The sequence below is a fragment of the Homo sapiens genome, chromosome 2, assembly GCF_000001405.40.
Source record: "Homo sapiens chromosome 2, GRCh38.p14 Primary Assembly".
Classification (NCBI taxonomy): domain Eukaryota; kingdom Metazoa; phylum Chordata; class Mammalia; order Primates; family Hominidae; genus Homo; species Homo sapiens.
Window position 1 is genome coordinate 231,206,114 of NC_000002.12, and position 25,481 is coordinate 231,231,594.

The 25,481-nt window shown below is 42.4% G+C and overlaps 1 protein-coding gene across 10 annotated transcripts in view, besides 2 other annotated features; it reads left to right on the top strand.

The window, feature by feature from the left end:
* ARMC9 (armadillo repeat containing 9) overlaps positions 1 to 25,481 on the top strand; it is a 178,218-nt gene that overhangs the window by 7,483 nt on the left and 145,254 nt on the right. For 8 of the 10 annotated variants that reach the window (NR_148040.2, NM_001271466.4, NM_001352754.2 and 5 more), the window contains exons 2-7: positions 85 to 176; positions 2,014 to 2,139; positions 8,718 to 8,888; positions 10,525 to 10,680; positions 16,615 to 16,707; positions 20,661 to 20,685. Coding sequence is in view for 9 of the 10 variants with exons in the window: in NM_001271466.4 (NP_001258395.2) it covers positions 126 to 176; positions 2,014 to 2,139; positions 8,718 to 8,888; positions 10,525 to 10,680; positions 16,615 to 16,707; positions 20,661 to 20,685 (622 nt within the window). In the remaining variant the exon portion in view is untranslated. The remainder of the gene's footprint in view (positions 1 to 84; positions 177 to 2,013; positions 2,140 to 8,717; positions 8,889 to 10,524; positions 10,681 to 16,614; positions 16,708 to 20,660; positions 20,686 to 25,481) is intronic. The other 2 variants (NM_001291656.2, NM_001352758.2) reach the window with 1 other exon arrangement.
* Positions 16,327 to 16,626: an enhancer, noted in NCBI's record as "active region_17278". NCBI's record gives its function as "activates an Ori minimal core promoter by ATAC-STARR-seq in GM12878 lymphoblastoid cells {active_cell/tissue: GM12878}" and the evidence as "EXISTENCE:reporter gene assay evidence [ECO:0000049][PMID:35858748]".
* Positions 22,271 to 22,340: an enhancer, noted in NCBI's record as "active region_17279". NCBI's record gives its function as "activates an Ori minimal core promoter by ATAC-STARR-seq in GM12878 lymphoblastoid cells {active_cell/tissue: GM12878}" and the evidence as "EXISTENCE:reporter gene assay evidence [ECO:0000049][PMID:35858748]".

Sequence of the window (25,481 nt, forward strand, 5' to 3'; positions counted from 1 at the left end):
ATTATTCTGCTCACCACAACCACCTTTTTGTAGTTTCATAGGTGGTTGAAATGAAAGCTGTTGTCTTGTATTTTTGCCTTCTAGAGATTTTTGCTGTGAGAATTAATTACCAGTAACAGTTCAATATGGGGGACATTCTGGCTCATGAATCTGAATTACTTGGACTAGTGAAAGAGGTAGGTATATTATACAAAGCAGAGGTCACAGAGAAACAGATCTTGAAAACTTGTGTTTTAAAATGCAACAAACTATTTAGTGCCTTGTAATGTTTCTTCTATTGTTATGTTGGAGCTATTTTTCTATTATATAATATTCCATGTATTTACATTTTGGTTTTATAACTAAACAAATCTTAAAGCCACTTAAAAAGTCCCTTGAAAGAAAATTATAAAAGCAATACACGTCCACGGTAAAAGATTCAAGCACTACAGAAGTATAAAAAGGAAATTTCCCTCCCAGACTTTTTTCTATGTATAGTAAAAATATATTCACATGCCTGTAGTTTGTTTTACAGAATGGGATGATACATTGTTCTGTAGCTTGCTTTTTATCTGCCAACAATAATATAGCATGAACATCTGCCTATGATCGGCCCTAGACATTTGAATGCCATAGAGTATTTCATTGAGTGGCTGCATCATAATTTTTTTAACTCATTGTCTGGTAATGGCCTAGGTTTCCTACGCTAAAAGCTTTGACAAGTAGGGCCCAGGCCTTAAACTTTCTGGTGCTAAAGAAATGGTTCGCGCTTGCTGCTGCTTAACTGTGTGAGTAACCACCTGCAGGTTGCGAGAGCCACGGGCCTGGAGCAGGGATGAGGCACCCACCGTGCAACTGCAGATTTGGAATTTGGTGGTGTGATGGCGAATATATTCTTTTTTAAAAAATTTACATTTAAAAATCTTTTTAGAGACAAGGTCTTGTTCTGCCGCCTAGGCTGGAGTGCAGTGGCATCATCATGGTTCACTGTAGCCTTGAACTCCTGGGCTCAAGCAATCTGCCTGCCTCAGCCTCCTGGGTAGCTGAGACTACAGACGTGCACCACCATGCTCAGCTAGGTTTTATTCTAATTTTTGTAGAGATAGGATCTCACTCTGTTGTCCAAGCTGGTCTTGAACTCTTGGCTTCAAGCAATCCTCCTGCCTCAGCCTCCCAAAGTTGTGGGATTGCAGGCATGAGCCACTGCACCCTACCTATATAACACATTTTCTTTTAAAAATTTATTTATTTGAGATGGGGTCTCGCTTTGTTGCCCAGGCTGGTCTCAAAGTCCTAGGCTCAAGCGATCCTCCTACCTCAGCCTCCCAAAGTGTTGGGATTACAGGCATGAGCCATGCCACCTGGCCTATACCATTTTTTCTTTTTTTTTTCTTTTTTTTTGAGATGGAGTCTCACTCTGTCGCCCAGGCAGGAGTACAGTGGTGCTTTCTCTGCTCACTGCAACCTCCACCTCCTGGGCTCAAGCGATTCTCCTGCCTCAGCCTCCCGAGTAGCTGGGACTACAGGCACGCGCCACTGCGCCTGGCTAATTTTTGTATTTTCAGTAGAGACGGGGTTTCACCTTGCTGGCCAGGCTGGTCTCGAATTCCTGACCTCGTGATCCACCCGCCTTGGCCTCCCAAAGTGCTGGGATTACAGGCTTGAGTCACGGCTCCTGGCCGGTAGTTCTATTTTTATTTTTTTGAGGAACCTCCATACAGTTTTCTATAATGGCCGTACCAATTTACAGTCTCACCAAGAGTGCACAAGTGTTTCCTTTTCTCCACATCCTTGCCAAGACTTTTTATCTTTCGTCTTTTTTGTAATAGCCATTCTGACAGGTGTGAGGTAATTAGGTCTCTGTGGTTTTGATTTGCATTTCTCTGATTGTTAGTGATGTTAAGCACCTTTTCATGTATCTGTTGGTCTTTTTAATGTCTTCTTTGGATAAATATCTATTCAGATCCTTTGGCTGTTTTTTAATTGGATTATTTGTTTGTTTTGCTGTTGAATTGAATTATTTATTTTTTATAGTATTTAGATTTTGCTGAATTTGAAGACACCTTGAAAACATTTTCAAAAGAATGCAAAATAAAAGGAAAACCATTGTGTAAAACAGTAGGCGGATCTTTCAGAGACTCCAAATCATTGACAATTCAGGTAACATTTTGCTTATTTTTCATCCCTGTAGATAATTCAGGATGCTCCCAACTTGTGGAAAATGCTGCTGTTGGATAGTGCTAGAATAGTTTTTGAGCACTTGCTCAGAGTTACTTTAGATGGCACAAGTGTTTATAGATGAACTAATAATGTCATTTTAAATCTCTGTACCCTCCCCAGGAAATGTGTGGCCATATAAGATCTTTCACAAACATTTCTTGGGAAGAAGGAAAAGAAGAAACCATGCAGTGTTTAGGAACTGAGACAATTGTAGCCTTCCTCCTGAGGAGTTTCAGGTTATTAATTCTAGGCACTGGGGATCCAGCAGTGAACAAACAAAATCCAGCCCCTTGCCAGCACAGCATTTGCATTCTAGCTTGGGGAGGTTGGAGGGAACAGGGAGCAAGAGTGAGACTGACAAGGCGGGTCTGTGAAAGGAAGTCTGAATAGCTCTGTGAATACCAGTGGGCTGCAGGGGCACAGAGGTTATACAGACCTCAACTCTCAGGGTTAGAAGGGACCTTAAAAATCCTTGACTAGGCATGGTGGCTGAATCCTGTAATCCCAGCACTTTGGGAGGCTGAGGCAGGAGGACCGCATAAACCCAGGAGTTCAAGACCAGCCTGTGCAACACAGTAGGACCTCGTTTCTTTTTCTTTTTTTTTGAGATGGAGTCTCTCGCTCTGTCGCCCAGGCTGGAGTGCGGTGGTACGATCTCGGCTCATCACCACCTCTGCCTCCAGGATTCAAGCGATTCTCCTGCCTCACCCTCCCTAGTAGCTAGGATTACAGGCACGTGCTACTGCGTCTGGCTAATTTTTGTATTTTTAGTAGAGACGGGGTTTCACTACATTGGCCAGGCTAGTCTTGAACTCCTGACCTCAAGTGATCCGCCCGCCTTGGCCTCCCAAAAGTGCTGAGGTTACAGATGTGAGCCACCATGCCCAGCCAGAACCTCGTTTCTATAAAAAATAAAAAATTGGCCGAGCATGGTGGCATGCACCTGTAGTCCCAGCTACTTAGGTGGCTGAGGTAGGAGGATCACTTGAGCCTGGGAAATCAAGGCTGCATTGAGCCATGATCATACTGCTGCACTCCAGCTGTAGTGACAGAGTGAGACCCTGTCTCCAAAAAAATTAAAAAGTCATTATTTTAACCATTATTTGATGTCTAAATCTCATTTGTAATATGCCAGGTAAGTAATCAGTTCACCTAGAATATTTCCATTGACTAGAGACTGTACCATTTCCTGAGACAGCATGTTTCACATTTGGATGATTTTATTATTTATTTATGTATTTGAGACGGAGTTGCGCTCTGTTGCCCAGGCTGGAGTGCAGTGGCAGGATCTTGGCTTACTGCAACCCCCGCCTCCTGGGTTCAAGCGATTCTCCTGCCTCAGCCTCCCAAGTAGCTGGGATTACAGGCACACACCATCATGCCCAGCTGGTTTTAGTATTTTTATTGGAGATAGGGTTTCACCAGGTTGGCCAGGCTGGTCTCAAACTCCTGACCTTTGGTGATCCACCCGCCTCAGCCTTCCAAAGTGCTGGGATTACAGATGTGGCCACCACACCTGGTCTATTTTATTTTTATAATTAAAAAAAATTATGTGGAGACAGGGTCTTGCTGTGTTTCCCAGGCTGGTCTCAAACTCCCAATCTCAAGTGATCTTCCTGCCTCAACCTCCCAAAGCACTGGGATTATAGGCATGAGCCACTGCACCTGGCCTTATTATTTTAACAGATTTTTAAATTTTAACATACCTACTTCCAGAAATAATTTTAGGCTTGGCTTGCAAGCCCCTTGAGTGGCTGGAGTTCAAGTGGTATTCACTGCTGGTTTTCTCCTAGTCCTTGACTCCCCAGTGGCCTGGCATGGGCGCTGTTGAGAGAGGGGCACTTTTGAAGTGGCCCGTGGAGCTCAAGGCAGGGCTGAACCCTCTGCCTGCTCCGCTTCAGGCCTCTGGCCCCTGGATGCTGAGCTGCTGCTGCTTCCTGTCAACACAGACTCTTCTGTGGATGCTACAGCAGCCAGACCTCCCTGGCACCCCCCACACCTAGAACGATATGTTCAGAACATAAAAGAATATAGTCATTAGTAGAGGTGAAAACAGGTTCTTAGAGTGAAGTGTGTTCCTCAGGAAATCAGCTTCACTCCCCAGCACCTGGCTTCCCTGGTTCTTTCTGGATGAAGAAAGACCTTTACCCTACACGTTGGAAGTATAGGTGAGCATCTCTTAATTAAAGCTACCATTTGAGAGGAATATAGCAAATCCTCAATACCTAACTAGCAGAACAGTGAGACTCTTTTGTGAAGTTCACACATGACCAGATGATGTGATGATACAGGGTAAGGCCAACAGGCCCTGTGCCTTGAAGCTTCTTTGCATATCGGTCCCTCCAGAGGTGGCTGCTGTACACTTTCCGCAACTGGTTTGCCATCGCATTTCAGCTCCAGCTGCATCTGAGAACACTCAAATGTCTCTTTAGGTCTTTTTAAAAAATTGTGATTAAAGATAACATAAAATGTATCATGTTAACTATTCTTATGTGTACAGTTCAGTAGTGTTAAATGTGTTCACATTGTTGTGAAACAGATCTCTAGAATTTTTCATCTTACAAACCTGAAACTCTGTCCCCATTTAACAACTCCGCCTTTATCCTCCCCCTAGGCCTTGGCAGCCACTATTCTACTTTCTGTCTATGAATTGGCTACTTTAGATATGTCATATAAATGGAATTATGCAGTATTCGTCTTTCTGTAATTGGCTTATTTCACTCAGCATAATGTCGTCAAAGTTCATTCATGTTGCAATGTATGACAAGATTTCCTTTCCTTTTAAAGGCTGAATAATAATCTGTGATATATATTCACAAACACATACACACACACACACACACACACCCCCACAGTTTATCTGTTCTTCTGTTGATGGACACTTGGGTTGCTTCCACCTCTTGGCTATTAAGAATAGTGCTGTTGGGGCTGGGCGTGGTGGCTCATGCCTGTAATCCCAGCACTTTGGGAGGCCGAGGTGGGCAGATCACCTGAGGTCAGGAGTTCAAGCCCAGCCTGACCAACATGGTGAAACCCCGCCTCTACTAAAAAAAAAAAAAAAATACAAAAATTAGCGGGGCATAGTGGCAGGCACCTGTAATCCCAGCTACTTGGGAGGCTGAGGCAGGAGAATCACTTGAACCTGGGAGGCAGAGGTTGCAGTGAGCCAAGATCACACCATTGCACTCCAGCCTGGGGTAAAAAAGTGAGACTTTGTCTCAAAAAAAAAAAAATAGTGCTGCAGTGAACGTGGGTGTGCAAGTATCTCTTTAAGGCCTTGCTTTCTGTTCTTTTGGATGTATACCCAGAAGTATTGCTGGATCATATGGTAGTTCTATTTTTAATTTTTTGAGGAATTGCCAAGCTGTTTTACAAAGTGGTTATACTATTTTCCATTCCCACCAGCAGTACATAAGCGTTCCAGTTTCTCTACATCCTTGCCAATGCTTGTTATTTTCTCTGTGTGTTTTTAAAATATTCACCATTTTGATGGGTTTGAAGTGATATCTTGTCATAGTTTTGATTTGTATTTCTCTGATGTCTTCAGGTCTATTTTTATATAACTTCAAAGACCTTGAAACTTTCTGATTGTCACAAGCATATCTTTTCTGCTCATCCAGTCAACAGCTGTGTCCCCCACTATGGTAGATTTCCCAAATGAAAAATGCCTGGGTTGAATGAAGAAGAGTGGGGAAAAAATTTAGAAAGAAAAATAAAAAAAATATGTAGAACTGAGGTTCAGCAAAATATGCTAATTGTTAGTGGAACTCAAAAAATAGTGAGTTTCCCCAAGCAGTTTTATGTGTATAGTTCAGTAGTGTTACGTATGTTTACATTGTTGTGAGATATAAGAAGCGTGTGTGTCTACAAGTTACTATTGATGGTGTACACATTTTCTCATCTTGTTGATTCTGCTTTGATCATGGTTTATAGAACATCACTAATATTTTGTGACTGTAAGTTATAATAGCAGATTCTTTTATGTGTGGGTATTATTTTAAGCTCAGGGACCATTTCCAGGTACAGAATGTGATTCATGAGTTAGGAAGAATGATAGATGTGATTGTAATGACATAGCAAAGGTTTGTGGTTTCAGGTCTACAAATATAGACCTTAGAACAAACTGTAGATGGGCCATTTGACTTGTGGACTCTGCCAAGCCACATTGATAAAATAACTTTTCTTTAAGCCATAACGTTTCACAAGAGTCTGCGCTCACCTCATCCACACAGTCAGAGAGCTCTTGGTCACCGCACTTCTCATGGCAAGGCCCCCTCAGGAATGGGCACTGGGTTTGCTTGGGACCTTGGCAGAGGCAAGCATGGGGCTGAGCCTGGCCCCACAGCACTGCCCCTGGGAGGATCCCTTCACCTTTGTGGCAGTCATTAACAAGCATGCAGGTCTCTGGTCAGCTTCCCCAAATTCTTCCAAGGGGTGCCTGCATTCAGCTGCTTGTGCTTTGTTTTGGCAACCCTCACCCACAGGCGCTAACACACTGTCCCTCGCCTGTGTCCGGGAGGAACAGAAGAGCCAGCCTTGAGGAGGTAGATGCTCATTGTAGGGCTTATTTGAAAAATTCTGAGTTTACTTGAAATGTAACTGGCACCTTCCAGCGTAAGGCAGTATTCAGAGACAGTTCTTGATTACATGACATAGTGAAATTTTTGTAATATTCAGATTTGAGGATTCCTTACCAATCAACATCTTTGACTTATGTGTAACCAAACACTGTTACATTATTTGTTCTCTATACATTTCCATTTTATGTTAGAAAATTTGCTTATAAACAGATAAAACAAGTAATTTTTAAAAATGACAATTATGCAGGAAAATTATCTGTAAACGTTTTTTCTTTTTTTTTTTTTTTCTGAGACAGGGTCTCATTCTGTTGCTTAGGCTGAAATCCAGTGGTGGGATCTCAGCTCAGTGCAGCCTCTACCTCCAAGGCTCAGATGGTCCTCCCACCTCAGCCTCCCGGGTAGCTGGGACTACAGGCACATGTCACCACACCCAGCTAATTTTTGTACTTTTTGTAGAGACAGGGTTTCACCATGTTGTCCAGGCTCGTCTTGAGCTCCTGGGCAAACGATCTGCCCACTTTGGCCTTCCAAAGTGCTGGGATTACAGGTGTGAGCTACCACGCCCGGCCATGTAAACTCACTTTTTTGGTTTTTTTTTTTTTGAGATGGAGTCTCGCTCTGTTGCCCAGGCTGGAGTGCAGTGGCGCAATCTCGGCTCACCCCAACCTCCGCCTCCCGGGTTCAAGCAATTCTCCTGCCTCAGCCTCCAGAGTAGCTGAGATTATAGGCATGCACCACCATGCCCGGCTAATTTTTGTATTTTTAGTGGAGACAGGGTTTCATCATGTTGATCAGGCTGGTCTCGAACTCCTGACCTTGTGATCCACCTGCCTTGGCCTCCCGAAGTGCTGGGATTACAGGTGTGAGCCATCTCACCCATAAACTCATTTTTAGAAGTATAAAAGAACAATGGCCAATAATGGTGGTAAATAACAATGGTATTGGGTGGGGAAGTGGGGATTCTGTAGAAAATCCAATCTCAGAAACGCTGTTGCAGTTGAGCGTAAAATGTAAGTACAAATATCTTGGGCATTCGATACAAAAAGAACAGTAGCAACTGCATTGTTTTGGACTCTTAAGAAGTTCTTTGACTTCTGCCTGATACTTAAATCCACAAAATTATGCCACAGATATTTGTGACAGGTGAGTTATCTTCCTTGTGAGACAGGTGACATGATAATTGCCACCTCCTTTCTCCAGAATTCTTTGAACTAGTGCATGCTGAATCATGATGCTGTCATTGTCCCAGGTGGACTCACACAGCTCTGTGGTCAAACGGCACTGAGCCGGTGCTCCTTCCTCCATCTCCAGCCTTCTCTGTCGCTGCAGCTGCAGCTGGCAGGCGTGGACAGTCACCTTATGGTATAATGGGGTCTGTGGTGGCTTCCTTCAGCTCCATATCAGCCTGGTGTGCTTCTAGCAATGGGGCAAGTGGCAGCTCTATCTCCTAGGCCCAGGATTGACTGGGTCAGTGTGTGTGGGCTCCCAGCCACTCCAGGATGTGGAGCCATGCTGTCAGCAACCTTCCATGCCTGTGAGGTTTGTTCCTGGGAGGCCTGGCTAGACTTGGTCTGGATAGCTTTTGTCAGTTGCACGCTGTGGGTCAGCAGGTCCAAAGGGTGACTTCAGTATATTTACGTGTCCAAGAGTTCTCTGGCCCCAAGTCTTTGTTCTGTGCCTGATTCTTTCCATTTCAAAGACCTTAAATGTTTTGTGTGTTCTTTATAGTGCCCAGATTAGATATTGCAAAGGTGTGGGAAACCAGGGTTGGTGTGCAGGAATCGCAGGCTCAGGAGCTTGAATCCTGTGGGATCTCTATTTTTCTATCCTTTACCACTGAAAAGGAGTATATGGGAGATCTGTGGTGTTGAGTGGGTTGTGAGAATTTTGGGTGTTGAAATTTACAACGAGGTATGTAGTCTGATGTCTTCTCCACAGAAGGATCTTGTCGCTGCATTTGACAACGGAGACCAGAAGGTGTTCTTCGATCTGTGGGAGGAGCACATTTCAAGTTCCATCCGAGATGGGGACTCCTTTGCCCAGAAGCTGGAATTCTATCTCCACATCCATTTTGCCATCTATCTTTTGAAGTACTCTGTGGGGAGACCGGTGGGTTTACCTGGTGATGCGGGTGGGTCTGAGTGGTGTGTTAAGGAACAGTGTTTGCTGTCATTGTCCACATGGGCATGGATTTCATATGTGGCTGTGCTGTCATAATGCTTACGAGGTACAGGCATCCTCTCTCCTGGTGAGTGATTTTCTACTGTATTCCCAGCAGTTTATATTCTAATTTCTATGGAGATTTAATAATTTCTGTAATCAAAGCTATATTCCTAAATACCTCAAGTTTTTGAAACCTCATCAAAATAAAGTTTATTTGGCAACTTAGTATGTAGGCGTGTATGTCTAAGAGAACATATATTTCAGCTGCATATTAGACCCTATATTAGAACATAAATTTATTTACTTATTTATTGTAGAGAAAGGGTCTTGCTATGTTGCCCAGGCTGGTCTTGAACTCCTGGGCTCAAACAGTCGTCTCACCTTGGCCTCCCAAAGTGCTGGGATTACAGGCGTGAGCCACTGTGTCTGGCCAGAACACACATTTAAACTTAGGTAGTGGAAAAGAGTACGTCTCTTTGTGGAAAGCCCTTTTGAGTGATAGGTTGAATTTAGCATCTGTAGTCCTTTCCCAGATGGGGCTGGAGATGGGAAGAGAGGAGAAGGCTGAAATGTGAAGCTGCTGCGGTGGCTGAGCTTTGAGTGCAGAGTAAATGACAGAAGGGCAGCAGAGGCAAGCTGGCATTTGACCCCGTGCATTAATGACTGCCCTATGGACCAAGGTGAACACATGAGAATGTCAGAACACCAACGGTGGGGACAGTGGTGGAGGGAGCAGCAGGACCATACATTGTGGTAGCCGTTGTTGGAAGGCTCTTCCTCAGGTTATCACTCTTGCAGGGAAGATCACAGGAGATTTTCATTTTCTGTTTGTATTTCTGTTTAAGTCTGGGGGTCAAAAGAGGGCTCATGGTATAGGTCAACTGAGATGTGTTTGTAAGAACAGGCTTAGTCTATGTACGAGACTGTGAAGGCCATGATTAGTAGAGCCAGTGTGGGAGCAAAGCCCCACATTCACCTCCTCTGGTTTTCTCATTGAGGGCCAAGAGGAGATAGAAGCCCCGAGAGGGGAACTGACTTGCCTGGGATCCACATGGAGTAGTGACACAGAGCGAGCCCAGGCCTTAGCACAAGAAAGGAAAGGAGTGACTTGGAAGCTTTTGTTTCCAACACCATAAAGAAATGCCTGTTAATCTTTAGAAACCGCTCCTGCTGGAGGCATGGTAATGCAGACAGATACTTATTTATATCTGAAAAGTAGAAGCAATGTGTCTAGGTAATAATGGGGAAGCTAGTTAAATAAATGTGATAGACAACATGAGGTTTTGTCCTGCCATTAAAAATGTTTATGAAGAATTTTAAGGACATGAGAAAATGGCAATAATAAAGTTAAAAAGCAGCATATTGAACTGTATATATAGTTGTCTGATCTTCCTGACATAGTCTCATTAAGGGGGAAATTTAGGGTGGATGGTAGAATTCTAGAGACAATGCACCTGCCAGGTTAGATAGGGGATGCCAGCGACACGACTGGGACAGAAGGAGCCTCAGAGAGAGGATGGGGTGAGCAGATAGACTGGGCATTGATCTGGAGACCTCAAACAAGTGTTTTCCCTTCTTCTAGGACAAAGAGGAGCTGGATGAAAAGATTTCCTACTTCAAAACCTACCTGGAGACCAAAGGGGCAGCCTTGAGCCAGACCACAGAGTTTCTTCCTTTCTATGCCCTTCCTTTTGTTCCCAACCCTATGGTGCACCCCTCATTTAAAGAACTCTTCCAGGTAAATGTCAGCTTTTAACTCTTGTGTCAGATCCTGGGTGACATTGTGGTTTTACCTTCTGTATGCTGGGGGCTTCTGAATGATGCTTTAAAAAAACTAAAATTTGCTTACATTAGTATTATTTTTAGTTATAACCATAATTTGTTTAGTCAGTCTCCTATTGGATGGTTAGTTAGGTTTGGTTTTTGCCATCCTATACTAGCAGTGGTTTGCAACTTCTACATACATTAAATCTGGAAGAGTTATAGTAATTAACACTTTGTAATAGCAAAAACTAGGAACAACCCAATTGTACACCAACAGGAGCATGCATAAATACATTGTATTATATTCACACAATGGAATATTATACATCAATGAGAATGAATGAACTAAATTACACATTGATGAAATCTTAAGCCAGATACAAGAGAGGACATGCTATGTGATTCCCTTTGTATATACATCAAAGCAAACAAAAGTAGTTTTTAGGCATATGTGTACCAGTGTTAAAATGTTACAGAAAGTTGGCTGAGCACGGTGGCTTACACGTGTAATCCCAGCACTTTGGGAGGCCGAGGTGGGTGCATCACTTGAGGCCAGGAGTTTGAGACCAGCCTGGCCAACATGGGGAGACCCCGTCTCTACTAAAAGTACAAAAATTAGCCGGGTGTGTAATTCCAGCTACTCAGGAGGCTGAGGCAGAACAGTTGCTCAAACCCGGGAGGTGAAGGTTGCAGTGAACCAGGAGTGCCACTGCACTCCATCCTGGGCAACAGAGTGAGACCTTGTCTCAAAAAAAAAAAAAAAAATTACAGAAAGCAAGGATTCTCACCTGCTCGAATGGCAACCTAACAATTTTTACATTATCACACACAGAATTGACTTTTTCAGGATGTATAGTCCTATGAATTGTAACACACATATGTTTTGTTTGTTTGTTTGGTTGGTTTTGTCGCCCAGGCTGGAGTATAGTGGCGCGATCTCGGCTCACTGCAACCTCTGCCTCCTGGGTTGAAGCGATTCTCTTGCCTCAGCCTCCTGAGTTTAGCTGGAGCTACAGGTGCGCACCAGCACACCTGGCTAATTGTTGTATTTTTAGTAGAGATGGGGTTTCACCATGTTGGCCAGGCTGGTCTTGAACTCCTGACCTCAGGTGATCCACCTGCCTCGGCCTCCCAAAGTGCTAGGATTACAGGCGTGAGCCACCGCGCCTTGTTTGTTTGTTTTTTGGAGACAGAGTCTCATTCTGTCACCCAGGTCACTCTCACTCAACAGCAACTGATGCAATTCTTCCAAATCCCAGTACATTTCAGCATCCCATTCAGTTGTAATTCTGTAAAACAACTTTCATCCCTCCTGAATAGTAACTGCTAAACTGAAGGTTACTTAGTTGACCGCTTTCATTAAAGCAGGCCTTTTGTAGAGTAGCCCAAGTTGAAATTTTTGCTGTTTTTTCTTGATCATTCTAGATTTAGTTTTACCTACTTCCTCTCCCAGAAGGTTGAAGAAAAAAGTGGTTAAGAAGGTGATTAAATCTGGAAGGGTTCAGATGTCTTCGAGGATAAAACAAAGAAAATAATAAAAATAAATTTTAAAAAATTAAAAATTAAATTAAAAAATTTCTAAAAATAAATATTCTTGGAAGGAGATGGTAGATTTTCTCACAGTGAGACTTCTGTTCCTAAGTATTCTGTTCGTGAATATTCTGGCATAGTGGCATAGATAAAGCTTGGATCCAGGTGGCAGTAGAGCTGGCAGAATCGGGGATGGGGCCTAGCAGAGGCTGCAGCTGGCAGCTTGACTCACTCAGATTTGGTGTTCCAAGGTGGAGTTCAGCTTCTGGTGGTTTAAGGAATTTAATGACCTTCCGTATTCATGGAGATTCATTTTATTCCATTTTTTTCTTTTGTTAGTCTACATATGTTCTTTTAATGGTAATCACAGATATTTTAGTATGTATACATAATCAAGTCAGTCTTTTGTTTTTTTTTTTGAGATGGAGTTTCACTCTTGTCACCCAGGCTGGAGTGCAATGGCTCAATCTTGGCTCACTGCAACCTCCACCTCCCGGGTTCAAGCGATTCTCCTGCCTCAGGCTCCTGAGTAGCTGGGATTATAGGCACACGCCACCATGTCCGGCTAATTTTTGTATTTTTAGTAGAGACGGGGTTTCACCATGTTGGCCAGGCTGGTCTCAAACTCCTGACCTCAGGTGATCCGCCTGCCTCAGCCTCCCAAAGTGCTAGGATTACACGTATGAGCCATCACGCCCAGCCATAAAGTCTAAATTTAATCTTTATTTTCTTCCAGAACATTCAAGGAACTCAGAATGCATTAACTTCATTCATCCCCTTCACAATTTATGTCCTTTTTTTTTTTGTCAAGTATCTTAGTTATATATTTTAAATGTACAAATTAAGAAGTTTTACTATTTTATGCAATCAGTGTGTGTAGATTTTCCCTTATAGCTACCAGTATTTTTGTTCATCATTCCATCTTGTGTTAAAGACCTCTTCCATCTGGGATAGTCGTCTCCTCTTATTTAAGTACATGTCTTTAAAACCCCCTTTCCTTGAAGATCTCTTCTTTCAGTTCTTGTTTGACTGCAGTGTCTTTATTGCTTTCTCAGATAGGATTAGAATACTAGGTTTACAGTTATTGTCTCTTACTACATTGAAGATACAAATCCTAGCTAGATTGCATCATTTCCTAGCTCGCATTGCTGCTATTTTGAAGTTGGCTGTCAGTCTAATTGCCGTTCCTTTGAAGGTGATCAATCTCTTTTATCTGGCCTCTGGGTTTGTATCATTTCCCTACAGTGTTTCTAGGGATAGATTTCTATTTTTACTTGAGATTTGTTGGGTTTCCTGGATGTGAAGTTTTGTGTCTTTCAACAACTCTGAAAAATTCTCAATTAGTATCTCTTTGTATAGTATCATTCTCTTTATTATCTCCTAGATATCTGACTAAATGTATATTAGACCTATTATATTCTCCATGTCTTTTTTTTTCATTAAAAAAATTGTAAAATACACATAACATAAAATTTACCATTTTGACTTTTCTTTTTAGTATTAAAGAGATGGGGTCTCACTCTATCCCCCAGGCTGGAGTGCATGATTATAGCTCACTACAGCCTTGACCTCCTGGGCTCAAGTGATCTTCCCACTTCAGCCTCCCGAGTAGCTAGACTATAGGCGTGCGCCACCACCATTTTGACCATTTCTGAGGGTTCAGCTGAGTAGTGCTAAGAACGTGCAAATCATTGTGCTCGCCATACCTTTTAACATCTTATGTTTCCTTCTCTTAATCTCTCTGGCTGTATTCTGGGTGATCTCTTCACATCTGCCTTCCAGTTCACAAACTCACCCTCCAGCTATGTTTAGTCTGTTCTTTAACCTTTTCATTGAATTTGTAATTTCAGTTAACTCTTTTTTTTTCAGAAGTTTATTTTTTTGTTGTTTATTGAAATTGCTGGGACATTTTTATAGTCTCTCATTCCTTCCTGTCTTTTATTTCTTTAACACATTAAAACTTTAGGCCAGGTGCAGTGGCTTACAGCTCTAATCCTAGCACTTTGGGAGGCCAAGGTGGGCGGATCACCTGAGGTCAGGAGTTCCAGACCAGCCTGGCCAACATGGTGAAACCCTGTCTCTACTAAAAATACAAAAATTAGCTGGGCATGGTGGCTAATGCCTGTAATCCCAGCTACTCCGGAGGCTGAGGCAGGAAAATCTCTTGAACCCGGGAGGCGGAGGTTGGAGCAAGTCGAGATCACACCACTGCGCTCCAGTTTGGGCAACAGAGCGAGACTCCATCTCAAAAAAAAAAAAAAAAAAAAAAAATTCCTTGGCTTCCTAGCTCTAATTTTCCTCCTGTCTCTGACCTCCTGTTCATTTAACAAATCGACCCACCACGCCCAGCTTGGAAATGTTCTTATTCTCAGAGTTGAAAGCACAGAAAAAATAAGAATGGTCAAGAAAAAAATAGGTGACTCATGTCCAAAGAGGCTTTATTTCAGTCTCATCCCTGTCATTAGCAGAGCATCATAAAGTAAGTAATTACATTGAAAACACATATTTGTTGGTAATACAAAATAGTAATCAACAACAGAGCAATCTAACTGGAAGTCTGTATGTCCCAAGCATTTTGTTTTGTTTGTTTTTTGAGACATAGCAGTCCTTTCCTGAGATTCTTCTCTGTGTGGTTGAGCGTAGACCACCTTGAGTTGTAGCACCTGGGTGATTTCCCTAGGGCTGCCCTAGCAAAGTACCACAGGCCAGATGCCTTAAGACAGCAGGCATTCGTTGTCTTACAGTTCTGGAGGCTGCAAATCTGAAATCAAGGTGTTGGCAGGGCTATGCTGTCCCTGAATCCTAGGGGAGGATCCTTCCTTTCCCCTCCCAGCTTCTTGTAGCCACGGGTGTTCTGTGACTGTGGCAGCATCATTCCAGTCTCTGTCTCCATTGTCCCATGGCCGTCTTCCTTCTGTGTCTGTGTCTAAATTTTCTTCTTCTTGTAAGGACATATTGGATTAAGGTCATATTGGATTAAGGACACACCCTACTCCAGTGTGACCTTATCTTAACTTTAATTACATCTGCAACGACCCCATTCCCAATGACCTCATGTTCTGAGGTACCAGGGGTTAGGACTTCAGCATGTATTTTGAGGGAACACAGTTCAATCCATAATAACACACACCTTATAAACAAAGTTATCATGCAGTATCAGGGAATTACACAATTTTTTAAAAATATAAGAACTCTCTGGTCGGGCATGGTGGCTCATGCCTGTAATCCCAGCACTTTGGAAGGCCAAGGCAGGTAGATCACTTGAGGTCAGGAGTTCGAGACCAGCCTGGCCAACATGGTGAAACCCCGTCTCTACCAAAAAAAAAAAAAATACAAAAATTAGCCAGGCTTGGTGACCCTCGACCCAGCTACTCAAGAGGCTGAGGCAGGAGAGTTGCTTGAACCTGGGAGGCGGTGGTTGTAGTGAGCATAGATCGAGCCACTGCACTCCAGCCTGGGTGACAAAGCAAGACTCTGTCTCAAAAAAAAAAAAAAAAAAGAACTTTCTGCTCATCTGGCAGTATTTTTTCTAGAAATCAGATGACATGCTGGCTAGAATGATTGGGTGGGGGTGGGAGGCATGGAGGAGGGTACAGAGCTGGAGAGGCAGAGACAGTGGGGAAGGATGGAAAGGTCTGAGGGCCATGGGGCAGCATCTAAGAGGATGGTGGGTATGAATTTTTAGTGGCTTCGCTGCATTTTTGTGGAACTTCTTGGTTTGGGTGGAAGATATTTCTGTATAAAGAGTATAAGGAAAATTGTCCTGAGACAAAGATTGTTACTTGTTATGTTTTTTCTTATTTAAGTCATTAATTTTTTCTTCTTGATGAGCATTATTTGAGATAAATAATTTGTTTTTAAAGGACAAATCATGCTAAGACTATATCATAATTCTTGACATGGTGGGGTATTTGTGGCAGAAAATAGCTTCTGTCCTTTTTTCTTATCTAGACGAGGTTTGTGGAAATGAGTCCCTTTCTTGGGGAGACTCTCAGTAACTTAGTGATAATTGTTTATGTTACGCCTCCCAGTGCTGTGCGTGCCTAGACTGTACTGAACTATTTTTGGTATGCAGCCTAATAAGGTTCCTTGTCACGACTGTGTTTAAATCACATGAAATACTCAAATCATGTTCAGGGTTATTTTTTCCCTGTTTATGAAAGAACTCTATTTTTTCTTCCTACTGTGGGCACTTGAATCTTCTGTAAATGAGTTGGTCAGATGTCCTAAGACCTGTTTTTCACAGCCTCACGTCACTGGCATTTTGGTTTTGGTTTCAATCACTGTGCAGGGTTTTTTAGCCTAATGACCTCAACTTGATGATGCTATTGGTACTTAGTAATCTAATGTTTGTATTTTTGTTCCCTTTTTTCTTTAGGATTCCTGGACTCCAGAGTTAAAGTTGAAGTTGATAAAGTTTCTAGCTTTAATATCTAAAGCCAGCAACACGCCAAAGCTTTTAACAATATATGTATCCTTTTGAAGCAAATAGAGACCACCTATGGTTTTAGAGCAGATTTTATTTAGAGTTGCACGCTGGCTTAGGTTTATTGAGGTTGCCTCATTAAATCGGGATAATTAATAGTGTTGCTTTCATATTTACAAGGTCAATGAATCATTAATGGCAGGGCCTATAGAGATCAACTTCTATATCATTGGATCTCTGAGACTTTCTTTTTGGCAAGGTCTTATTTTGATGTCACGTGGCTAGAAGTTGTCTTGGTAGAAAAGAAAGTTTACCTTCTTGTAAAAGAATTCCTTGGGATAATTGTCCCTTTGCAGAATGTCACTTAACCACTTTTAAGCCCTTCAGGCCATGGCATATGGATCGGGTGACCATCTAACTTGTCATTCAAATTGGGACTTCTTTTTAAATAACTTTATTGAGGTGTAAATTTACATACCATAAAATCTACCCATGGTAAGTGTACAATTTAATGCTTTTTGGCAAACGTACAGAGCTGTGCAGTATCACCACAGTCCAGTTCAAACTGGGACACTTTTGAAAGTAAAAAGGGGCACTAACTGGACAAAGTACCAGGGTGACAGGTGTAAATAGAGCCTGTTTCAGAAAGAGCAGAACGTTAGGTCACCCAACCCATGGAAGACTAATTTCCCAAAGGTTATTAGTTTTTAAAGACAAGTATCTCCTTTTACTTGGAATAAAAATGTATCCAAAGTTATTTCATAACAAGAACATAATGTTTTGAATGGTAAAATTGGTCACTGTTTAGTTTAATTTCATGAAAAATTTAGGCTACTTTGCTGCGTAATACCTTCTGCTTCCTTTCTAACTCCAAAGCATTTGACTTTCTTGACCTAATTGAGGTTTTATTTGTCACTAGGACTCCATGCCACATTTCTACTTGAGCTTCCTAAGCCTTCCCTGTTGCCTGTATTCAAATTCCTTAGCCTGGCCTGAGCCGAACGGACTGATCTACAGCTCTCGTCTCTGCCTTTATATCCTTAAGGCTTTTGTTTAAATTCTTCTGTTTGCCTACATACCACGATGTTTGCATATCCAAACCTTTTCCTTCCTAGAGTTCCATATACAGTGATTTTCAGTGAAACTAGAACTTTTCCAACTTGACTTATAATTATTTGAATACGCTTTAAAAAAGCATTTCTCAGCTTAATTTTTTTTTTTCTTGATACTGCTCCTTGTGGAACAGGGCTACCCCATAGGCAGTGTGCCCAGAGTAGCTCAGCTTAATAATTATGGGTGCCAATATGTTAAGAATCTAATCAAAATGATTTACATGGTAAATTATATTAGTTATATTAAAAATATATTAGTATACTCAAAACAGTACCTGACTGGGCCCCGTGGCTCACGCCTGTAATCCCAGCACTTTGGGAGGCTAAGGCGGGAGGATCACTTGAGCCCAGGAGTTTGAGCCCAGAGTGGGCAACATGGCGAAACCCCATCTCTGCAAAAAGTACAAAAAGTTAGCTGAGCATGGTAGCATCCATATGACTATAGTCCCAGCTATCTGGGGGAGACAGGTGGGCGAATCACCTGAGCCCAGGAAGTTGAGGCTGCATTGAGCTGTGTATTCTGCCATTGAACTTCAGCCTGGGCAACATAGTGAGACCCTGTCTCAAAAAAATAAGAATAAAAAAAGATCATAGTACCTATTTTATAGGAAGAGTATGAAGATTGAGTTAATACATATAACTTGTATGAAACAGTCCAGTATATAGTAAGTGCTTGATAACTGTTAGCTGTTGGCATTAGAATTTTTAAGTACTTGTCACCTTTCATCCTGTTCCACATGCTTTGAAGCATATGCTGAAATATAGCAGGTAACTATAAATAACATTCTAATATTTTCCTTGTTACATGAAAATACTTGTAGTTCAGTTCAATACATTAAGCTTCTACTATGAGTCAAATATTGTTCTAGGATTTAGGGATATAAAGAAAAGGCCAAGATGTAATTCTCTTAGCCAAACTGGAGCTTTGAACAATAAAATAGGAGTCTGTGAGGCAAACAGAGGAGGGATGGGAATTACAGGTAGAGGGAACAGCCTGTGCAAAGGCACTGAGACAGTGCCTGGGAAACTGAAATAATTTAATATTACTGGAGCAGAGTATTGGCATAGACAAACTCAGAGACTAGGCAGGGCCTAGGTCATAAAGGTTTATGCCAAGTCCTATAAGGAATAAGGAGCCTTTGAAGCATTTTAAGTAAGAGAATAACAGTTGTATTTGCAAAAAATAACTTTTTACTTCCTGATTATAAAATCAACTATATTCCTTATAGAAAATTTGGAAAGTACAGAAAGGTTTTTAATACAGACATACACCCAAATTGTAATAAAGGTAGGTACATGTATGTGTGTGTATATTTCTATGCATTTTTATCAAAGGAAGAGAACATCTTCCCATATCATTAAATAGCCTTCAAAAGCAGGTTAAGTTCCCTCAGAGGTTTAAACGTAGAGTTACCACATGACCCAGGAATTGGTCCAGGCTGTACACCCAAGAGCTATATACCCTAGCTATATACCCAAGAGAAATGAAACATACATATGTCCACAAAACAACCTGTACACAAATGTTCATAGTAACATTATTCATAATAGCCAAAAAAATGCAAACAACTCAAATGTCTATCATCTTATGAATGGATAAACAAACTGTGGTGTTATCCAAATGATGGAATATCGTTTGATATCATCCAGCCATAAAAAGGAATGAAGCACTGATTCATGCTGTAACATGAATGATCCTTGAAAGCATTATGCTAACTGAAAGAAGCCAGTGGCAGGGACCAGGTATTATATGACTCTATTCATAAAATGTCCAAAAGAGGCAAATCTGGAGAGACAGAAAGTATATTAGTGGTTGCCAGGGGCTGGGGAGAGCAGGGAAAATGGGAGTAACTGCCAGTGAATACAGGGTTTCTTTTGGAGGATGATGAAAATGTTCTAAAATTGATTGTAGTGATGGTTGCATAACTCTGAAAATACTGAAAACCATTGAAATGTACACATTGATTGATGATTGATTGATTGATTGAGTCAGAATTTTGCTCTTGTCACCCATGCTGGAGTGAAATGGCGTGATCTTGGCTCACTGCAACCTCCGCCTCCCAGGTTCAAGCGATTCTCCTGCCTCAGCCTCCCAAGTAACTGGGATTACAGGCACCCACTACCAAACCTGGCTGATTTTTGCATTTTTAGCAGAGACAGGGTTTTGCCATGTTGGCCAGGCTGGTCTCAAACTCCTGATCTCAGGTAATCCACCCGCCTCAGCCTCCCAAATTGCTGGGATTACAGGCGTGAGCCACCACACTGGCCTGAAAGGTACACTTTAAATAGGTGAATTATACAGTACGTGAATAAAGCTATTACCAAAATACTAAGGAAAAGTTTAAGACAAATTAAGGGAAAAGAAACATGTTAAGTAACTGTCTTCAGTCATGCAGCCAGACGTGTGGGAACTGAGATTTGAACCCAGGCAGTCTGGCTCCAGAGTCTGTGGTCTTAGCAATACTGTGCTATGCTGTTTTCACCTCAATATCAATTTCCTTAGGATAAAGCTTTGAATTGAAGTTAGAGTTGAATTATGTATAAAATCAGATTTGCATTTTTAGTTGGCTTGGTAGCAGTGGGGAAGGCCTTTGGAAGGGGATAGGAAGGGGATAGGAGGCTGTTGAAATAGTGCAAGACTTGAATTCAGACAGTGATAATTGAAATGGGGAGAAGAGGACTTGCCTTCTTCTGAAATGGGAGTGGGTCAGGCCAGTATGGAGAAGTTGCTTAGCTATTTACAGCAACAGTTGGAGCTGGCCCTCCCGGCTCCGAGAATTCTGTTTCATCATGCTGAGGTGCTTTCTCACATTGGCCACAGGATGTCCGATACCCCAAGTACCGTTCCCTGAATGCCTGTTTTCCTGAACTTCTTTTTCATCCCAGAAGGAGAATGGACAAAGTAACAAAGGTAAATCATCTAGATTTAAATTTGTCTAAGAACAACTTTGCCAGTTCAGGTTTGAAGTAGTAAGATCGGTGCAAAGATGGAGAGAATTCATGATTTTGGCTTTAAGAGTCTAAATATTTATGAAAGGCTTTGCAGTCATAGTGACCTGCAGTTCCTTGAGGCCCATTTTCGGGAGGGCTGGTATTGTTAGCTTCGTCTTGCATGTCAGGTAGCTAAGCCTTGGAGAAATGAAGAGAATCCAATAACATCCCAAAGGGAGGTAACTGCAGCAGCAGCACATTTTCCCTAGAAGGTGTAGGGCAGCATGGGTAAGGATAGAGTTCTTTTAATTTAATTTATTTTAATTATTTTAATATTTAACTTTTACCTTGAACTAGTCAACTGGGGTCTTCGAAGACATATGGAGTACCCATTCTTATCAAGCATTTTCCATTCCCAAGTAGGAATTCCAGTCTTCAGTTTGTAGCATGAAGTGTTATTTTTCCATGGTCAATTGTTTTTACCAGAACTGTTCACTTTTGAGTAAGGTGAGAAAAAGTGTAGTTAATATGAAGTTGGTGGCCCCAGTTGGGGCGCTGTACCTCAGTTTTGCCTTTGATACTACGTTTTGACAGCTGCTTAAATGATGATGCTGGAAAGGGCCTGTGATGCATGTCATCCCTCTGGTGAGTATTGATGGCATAACCCTCAGTTCCCAGTAGGTGGAGTGTGACTACAGGAGATCTTGTTCCATGCGCCAGCACATTTGCCCTTTCAAAGCAGAGTCATGCCAGAGAGGATTTCAGAACTCCCTGCCATTGCTTTTTCCTGTTTCTTTTTAGGGAGTGAAACTCTTTTAAAGAAAGGAAGCATTAATTAGTAAATTATTTAGCTGTTTGCTCACCAGGGAGTTGGCAGATAAGCAATGGGGTTTGTCAACCTCAGGGAGAGCTTGGGTTTGGGTTTGTCACTCAAGATGGCTTTGGCAGCGTCAGCCTTTGAGAAGGCTTCGGATGCTTGGTTTTGCTCTTGGTAGCCTCAAGCATCCCCAGCTCAGCTGTTCTAAGTGTGTGACTGGTTCTGCCAGCCATGCTGACCCTTCTGTCGCTCAGAGGGGACAGGCCCTGCTGGCCCTTCATGGAGGAGCAGGGCTACAGATACGGCCCCATGGGATCAACCTGGACTGCTCCAAGGGTCGCAGGAGCACCCTGAGTCTTGGAGCTCCCCAAGGTTGCCCTACCCCCAGTACAGTATGTGGAGGAAGACTCCCAGCCTGCATCCTCAGCTCTGCAGGCCCGCTCTCTCAGTGCTAGCCTAGGCCCAGGCCTGGCCACGGTGCGTCCCGGGCCAGTTTGCTCACATCCAACACAGCTGGCATCTTCAACTGGACTGGGACTTTGGATCTTGCCCTGCAGCTCCTGGAAATACACCTCAGCCCACTGTTCCATTGCTGCCTGACAGACCATCCCGACTTGGTGGCACAAAACAATGACATTCACTTATAATGGTGATGATGAGCCTGCATGGTCTGGGAGCTGTGGGCTCAGTTAAGCTGTTCTCCCTCAGCGTGTCTCTCAGGTGCAGTCAGGCGGAGCGGCCTGGGGCCAACTCCAAGGCACTCACACGCAGAGTGGTGGTCGGTGCTGGCTGTCACGTGGGGTCTCAGCAGAGGCCCTTGACGAGAACACCTGCGTGGCCTTGTGGTCTGGGCTTCCTCCAGGCATGTTGCCTGGTTTCCAAGGGTGAATGTCCCCAGAGAGAGCCAGGAGGAAGCTGTATCACTTTTTCTAACCTAGCCTCTGAAGTCAGTCAGTCATTTCTGCTGCATTCTGTTTCTTGCAAGTGAATTCCTAAGGCCCCCTCACCTTCAGAGAAAGGAAATTACATTCCTCTTCTTGATGGGAAGGAGGGTGTGTCAAAGACTACAGGCATTTTAAAACCACCACCATACCCTGCATCTCTGGACCCTAGAGAACTGCCTTAGTTGTTAGTTGAATCTGCCAGGTCGCTGTTCTGAACTAGCCTTTGGACCCCCAGGCAATGGGGGCAGGAAGGTGGTGAGAAACTTCTCTCTCTGGTTCCTGAGTTTCTGCAGCTCATGTCCCCCTAGCATACACTGCATTTTTGAGCATAGCTTTCTTCTGGGAGCATTATGTAAATCTGATAAGTGGCCCAGTTTTGCAGATCAAATAAACATGGGAAGGGGAATGCAAATAAAAGAATTGTCTTTCTCTACAGGTTTTTAATGTTGGAATTTCAGTAAGGAGACCAGTTTTTAAGCCTTCTTTAGGGTCAATTTTAACTGAGTTTTCTGGAAGCCAAGCAGAATGGCTGTGGATTTGAGTCTGGCAAGCAAAGTGCATCTGTGGCGGAGTGAACTCTGTAATGTGGTGTTGCTATGGAGATTGGAGATTCGCATTTTGGGCCCAGGCATGACAGTCATTTGTCACCCCCTTGTCCCCTCATCCTGCAGCTAAGGCTGTAATAACCAAAGGCACAGACATGCCCCCAGTTTAATTTAATTCTAGACTCAGGCATTGTTTTAAGTGAAGTGGTTGCATGATATCATTGTTCTGTGTATCTTGATAGGAAGTTTTCACGGTTAAGTGAGATTACCAGAAGCTTTTAAAGAAGACAGGAAAGGCACTTGCAGCAGAAACTTCTCTCAGAAGGAATTACGTTTGAAATGCTGTGTGGAATAAAAACAGGTTGACAATGTAGTAACATCGGATTATTATTTTCACCTAGTCACTTAAAAAGGATATAGAAATAGTATCTTTTGGCATTTCTAGCATGAATTGATTCAACCCTTTCAGAATGAGCAGTTGATCATTTTTCTGGAGTTTGGAGCCCTAAACAGTATTTTAAAAAGTAATGACTCATATTCATAAGTTACATTATAACTTTCTTCATCCAGTATCTGTGGATTAGCAAAGTAGCAAGGAGGTAATTTTTATCTGAATACAAACAGGAAAGAGTATATCATTATAAAGACAGAGAGGTTAATTTTAGCTTTTCATAGTGGGTGAGAAAAACAATTCCATATTTAAAAGTTGATCATTTTGTCTTGAGCAGCCAATTAAAATCTCATTTACCCTTTAAAAAAAAGTACAGTGCCCTAAGTGAAGTAGAAAAGTTAAAAAAGAAAGCTTGAGTGGCGGGGGAGAGATTTACATCACTGTTATGTCAGTAATTTTGGATATGAAGAGTCTCAATAAATTTCACTGGCATGACTAAGATGGTTTTATTAAAATAACATGGAGGTTATAATAAGACATCTCCATTAAAAGTTGAGGTCTTGTCACTAGGCGTGGTGGCTCATGCCCGTAATCCCAGCACTGTGGGAGGCTGAAGTGGGAGGATAGCTTGAGGCCAGGAGTTTGTGACCAGCCTGGCCAACATAGTGAGACCCTATTGCTATAAAAACTAAAAAAAATTAACCGAGCGTGGCGACGTACATCTGAAGTCCCAGCTACTCAGGAGGCTGAGATGGAAGGATGGTTTGAGCCCAGGAGTTGCAGCGAGCTATGATCGCACCACTGCACTAGTCTAGGTGGCAAAGCCAGACTCCGTCTCAAAAAAAAAAAGAAGAGGAAATTGAGGTCTTGCATGGCAAGGCATCTTGGTTTAGTTGTTCTTGTCTCATAAAACTTTTGACAGGGAAAATAGAAAGTCCTGTTTAATGCTCTGAAATAAAGCTGATGTGTTTGAGCTATCACCCACGTAGCTTCTAGTCATGGACAGGTCTTGTTTGTAGCTAGTTAAGGTATCTGCAAGGTGATGTCTCTGGGTAGCAGCCTCTCCTCCTAAGGAGTATACAGTTGTCCCTCAGTATCTACAAGGATTGCTTCCAGGACCCCCACAGATAACTAAAATCAACAGATGCTCAAGTCCTTTATGTAAAATGGCATGGTGTTTGCATACAACCTACACACATCTTCCCATATACATTAAGTCATCTCTGGATTACCTATACCTAATACAGTGTAAATGGTGTGTATACTGTTGTTATACCATTTTGTTTACGACATGAAAATGATATGAAAAAAAGTCTGTATGTGTTCAGTACAGGTGCTTCTTTTCCCGAATATTTTCAACCTGAGGTGGTTGAATCCACAGGTGCAGTACCCATGGATATGGAGTGCTGACTGTATTTGAAAATGGTCACAAACATTTCAGCCCTATTGCCTGCTTCTCTCTTTCCAATAGGCTGCAGGCAGTTAGGCCTTTTATCCCGGAGATGTGCCACACTTTGAAATTGTCATAAATTCTGATTCTGGGTTCCCAAGGCAAAAGTTCCACAGATAATCTCTTATGTTTAGTAAATTGCAGAATGAACTTCCGGGGGGAAGGGTTCCTTTGTGCAGTCCGGAGGGACTGCTTTGGGGACATTCACATTGGTGACTTGGGAGGTCATTGAGCCTAGCTAATGGGTTTTGGTACTTGATTCATCATGTACCACTTGGTCCGTGTTGAGAAAGTTTGCATAGATGTTCTCCAATACTTACGACTGCAATATGGGATTATGAATAGTATTCTGTAGAATTTTCATCTTTGAAAGTTTTAACTTATCTAATTTTGAACTCTCTATATATATATGAAAAACTTTATTTGTATTCATTTATTTTTTTGAGACAGCGCTGTTGCCCAGGCTGGAGTGCCGTGGCATGATCTTGGCTCACTGCAACCTCTGCCTCCTGGGTTCATGCGATTCTAGTGCCTCGGCCACCTGAGTAGCTGGGATTACAGGCGCATGCCACCATGCCCAGCTAATTTTTGTACTTTTAGTAGAGACGGGATTTCACCACGTTGGCCAG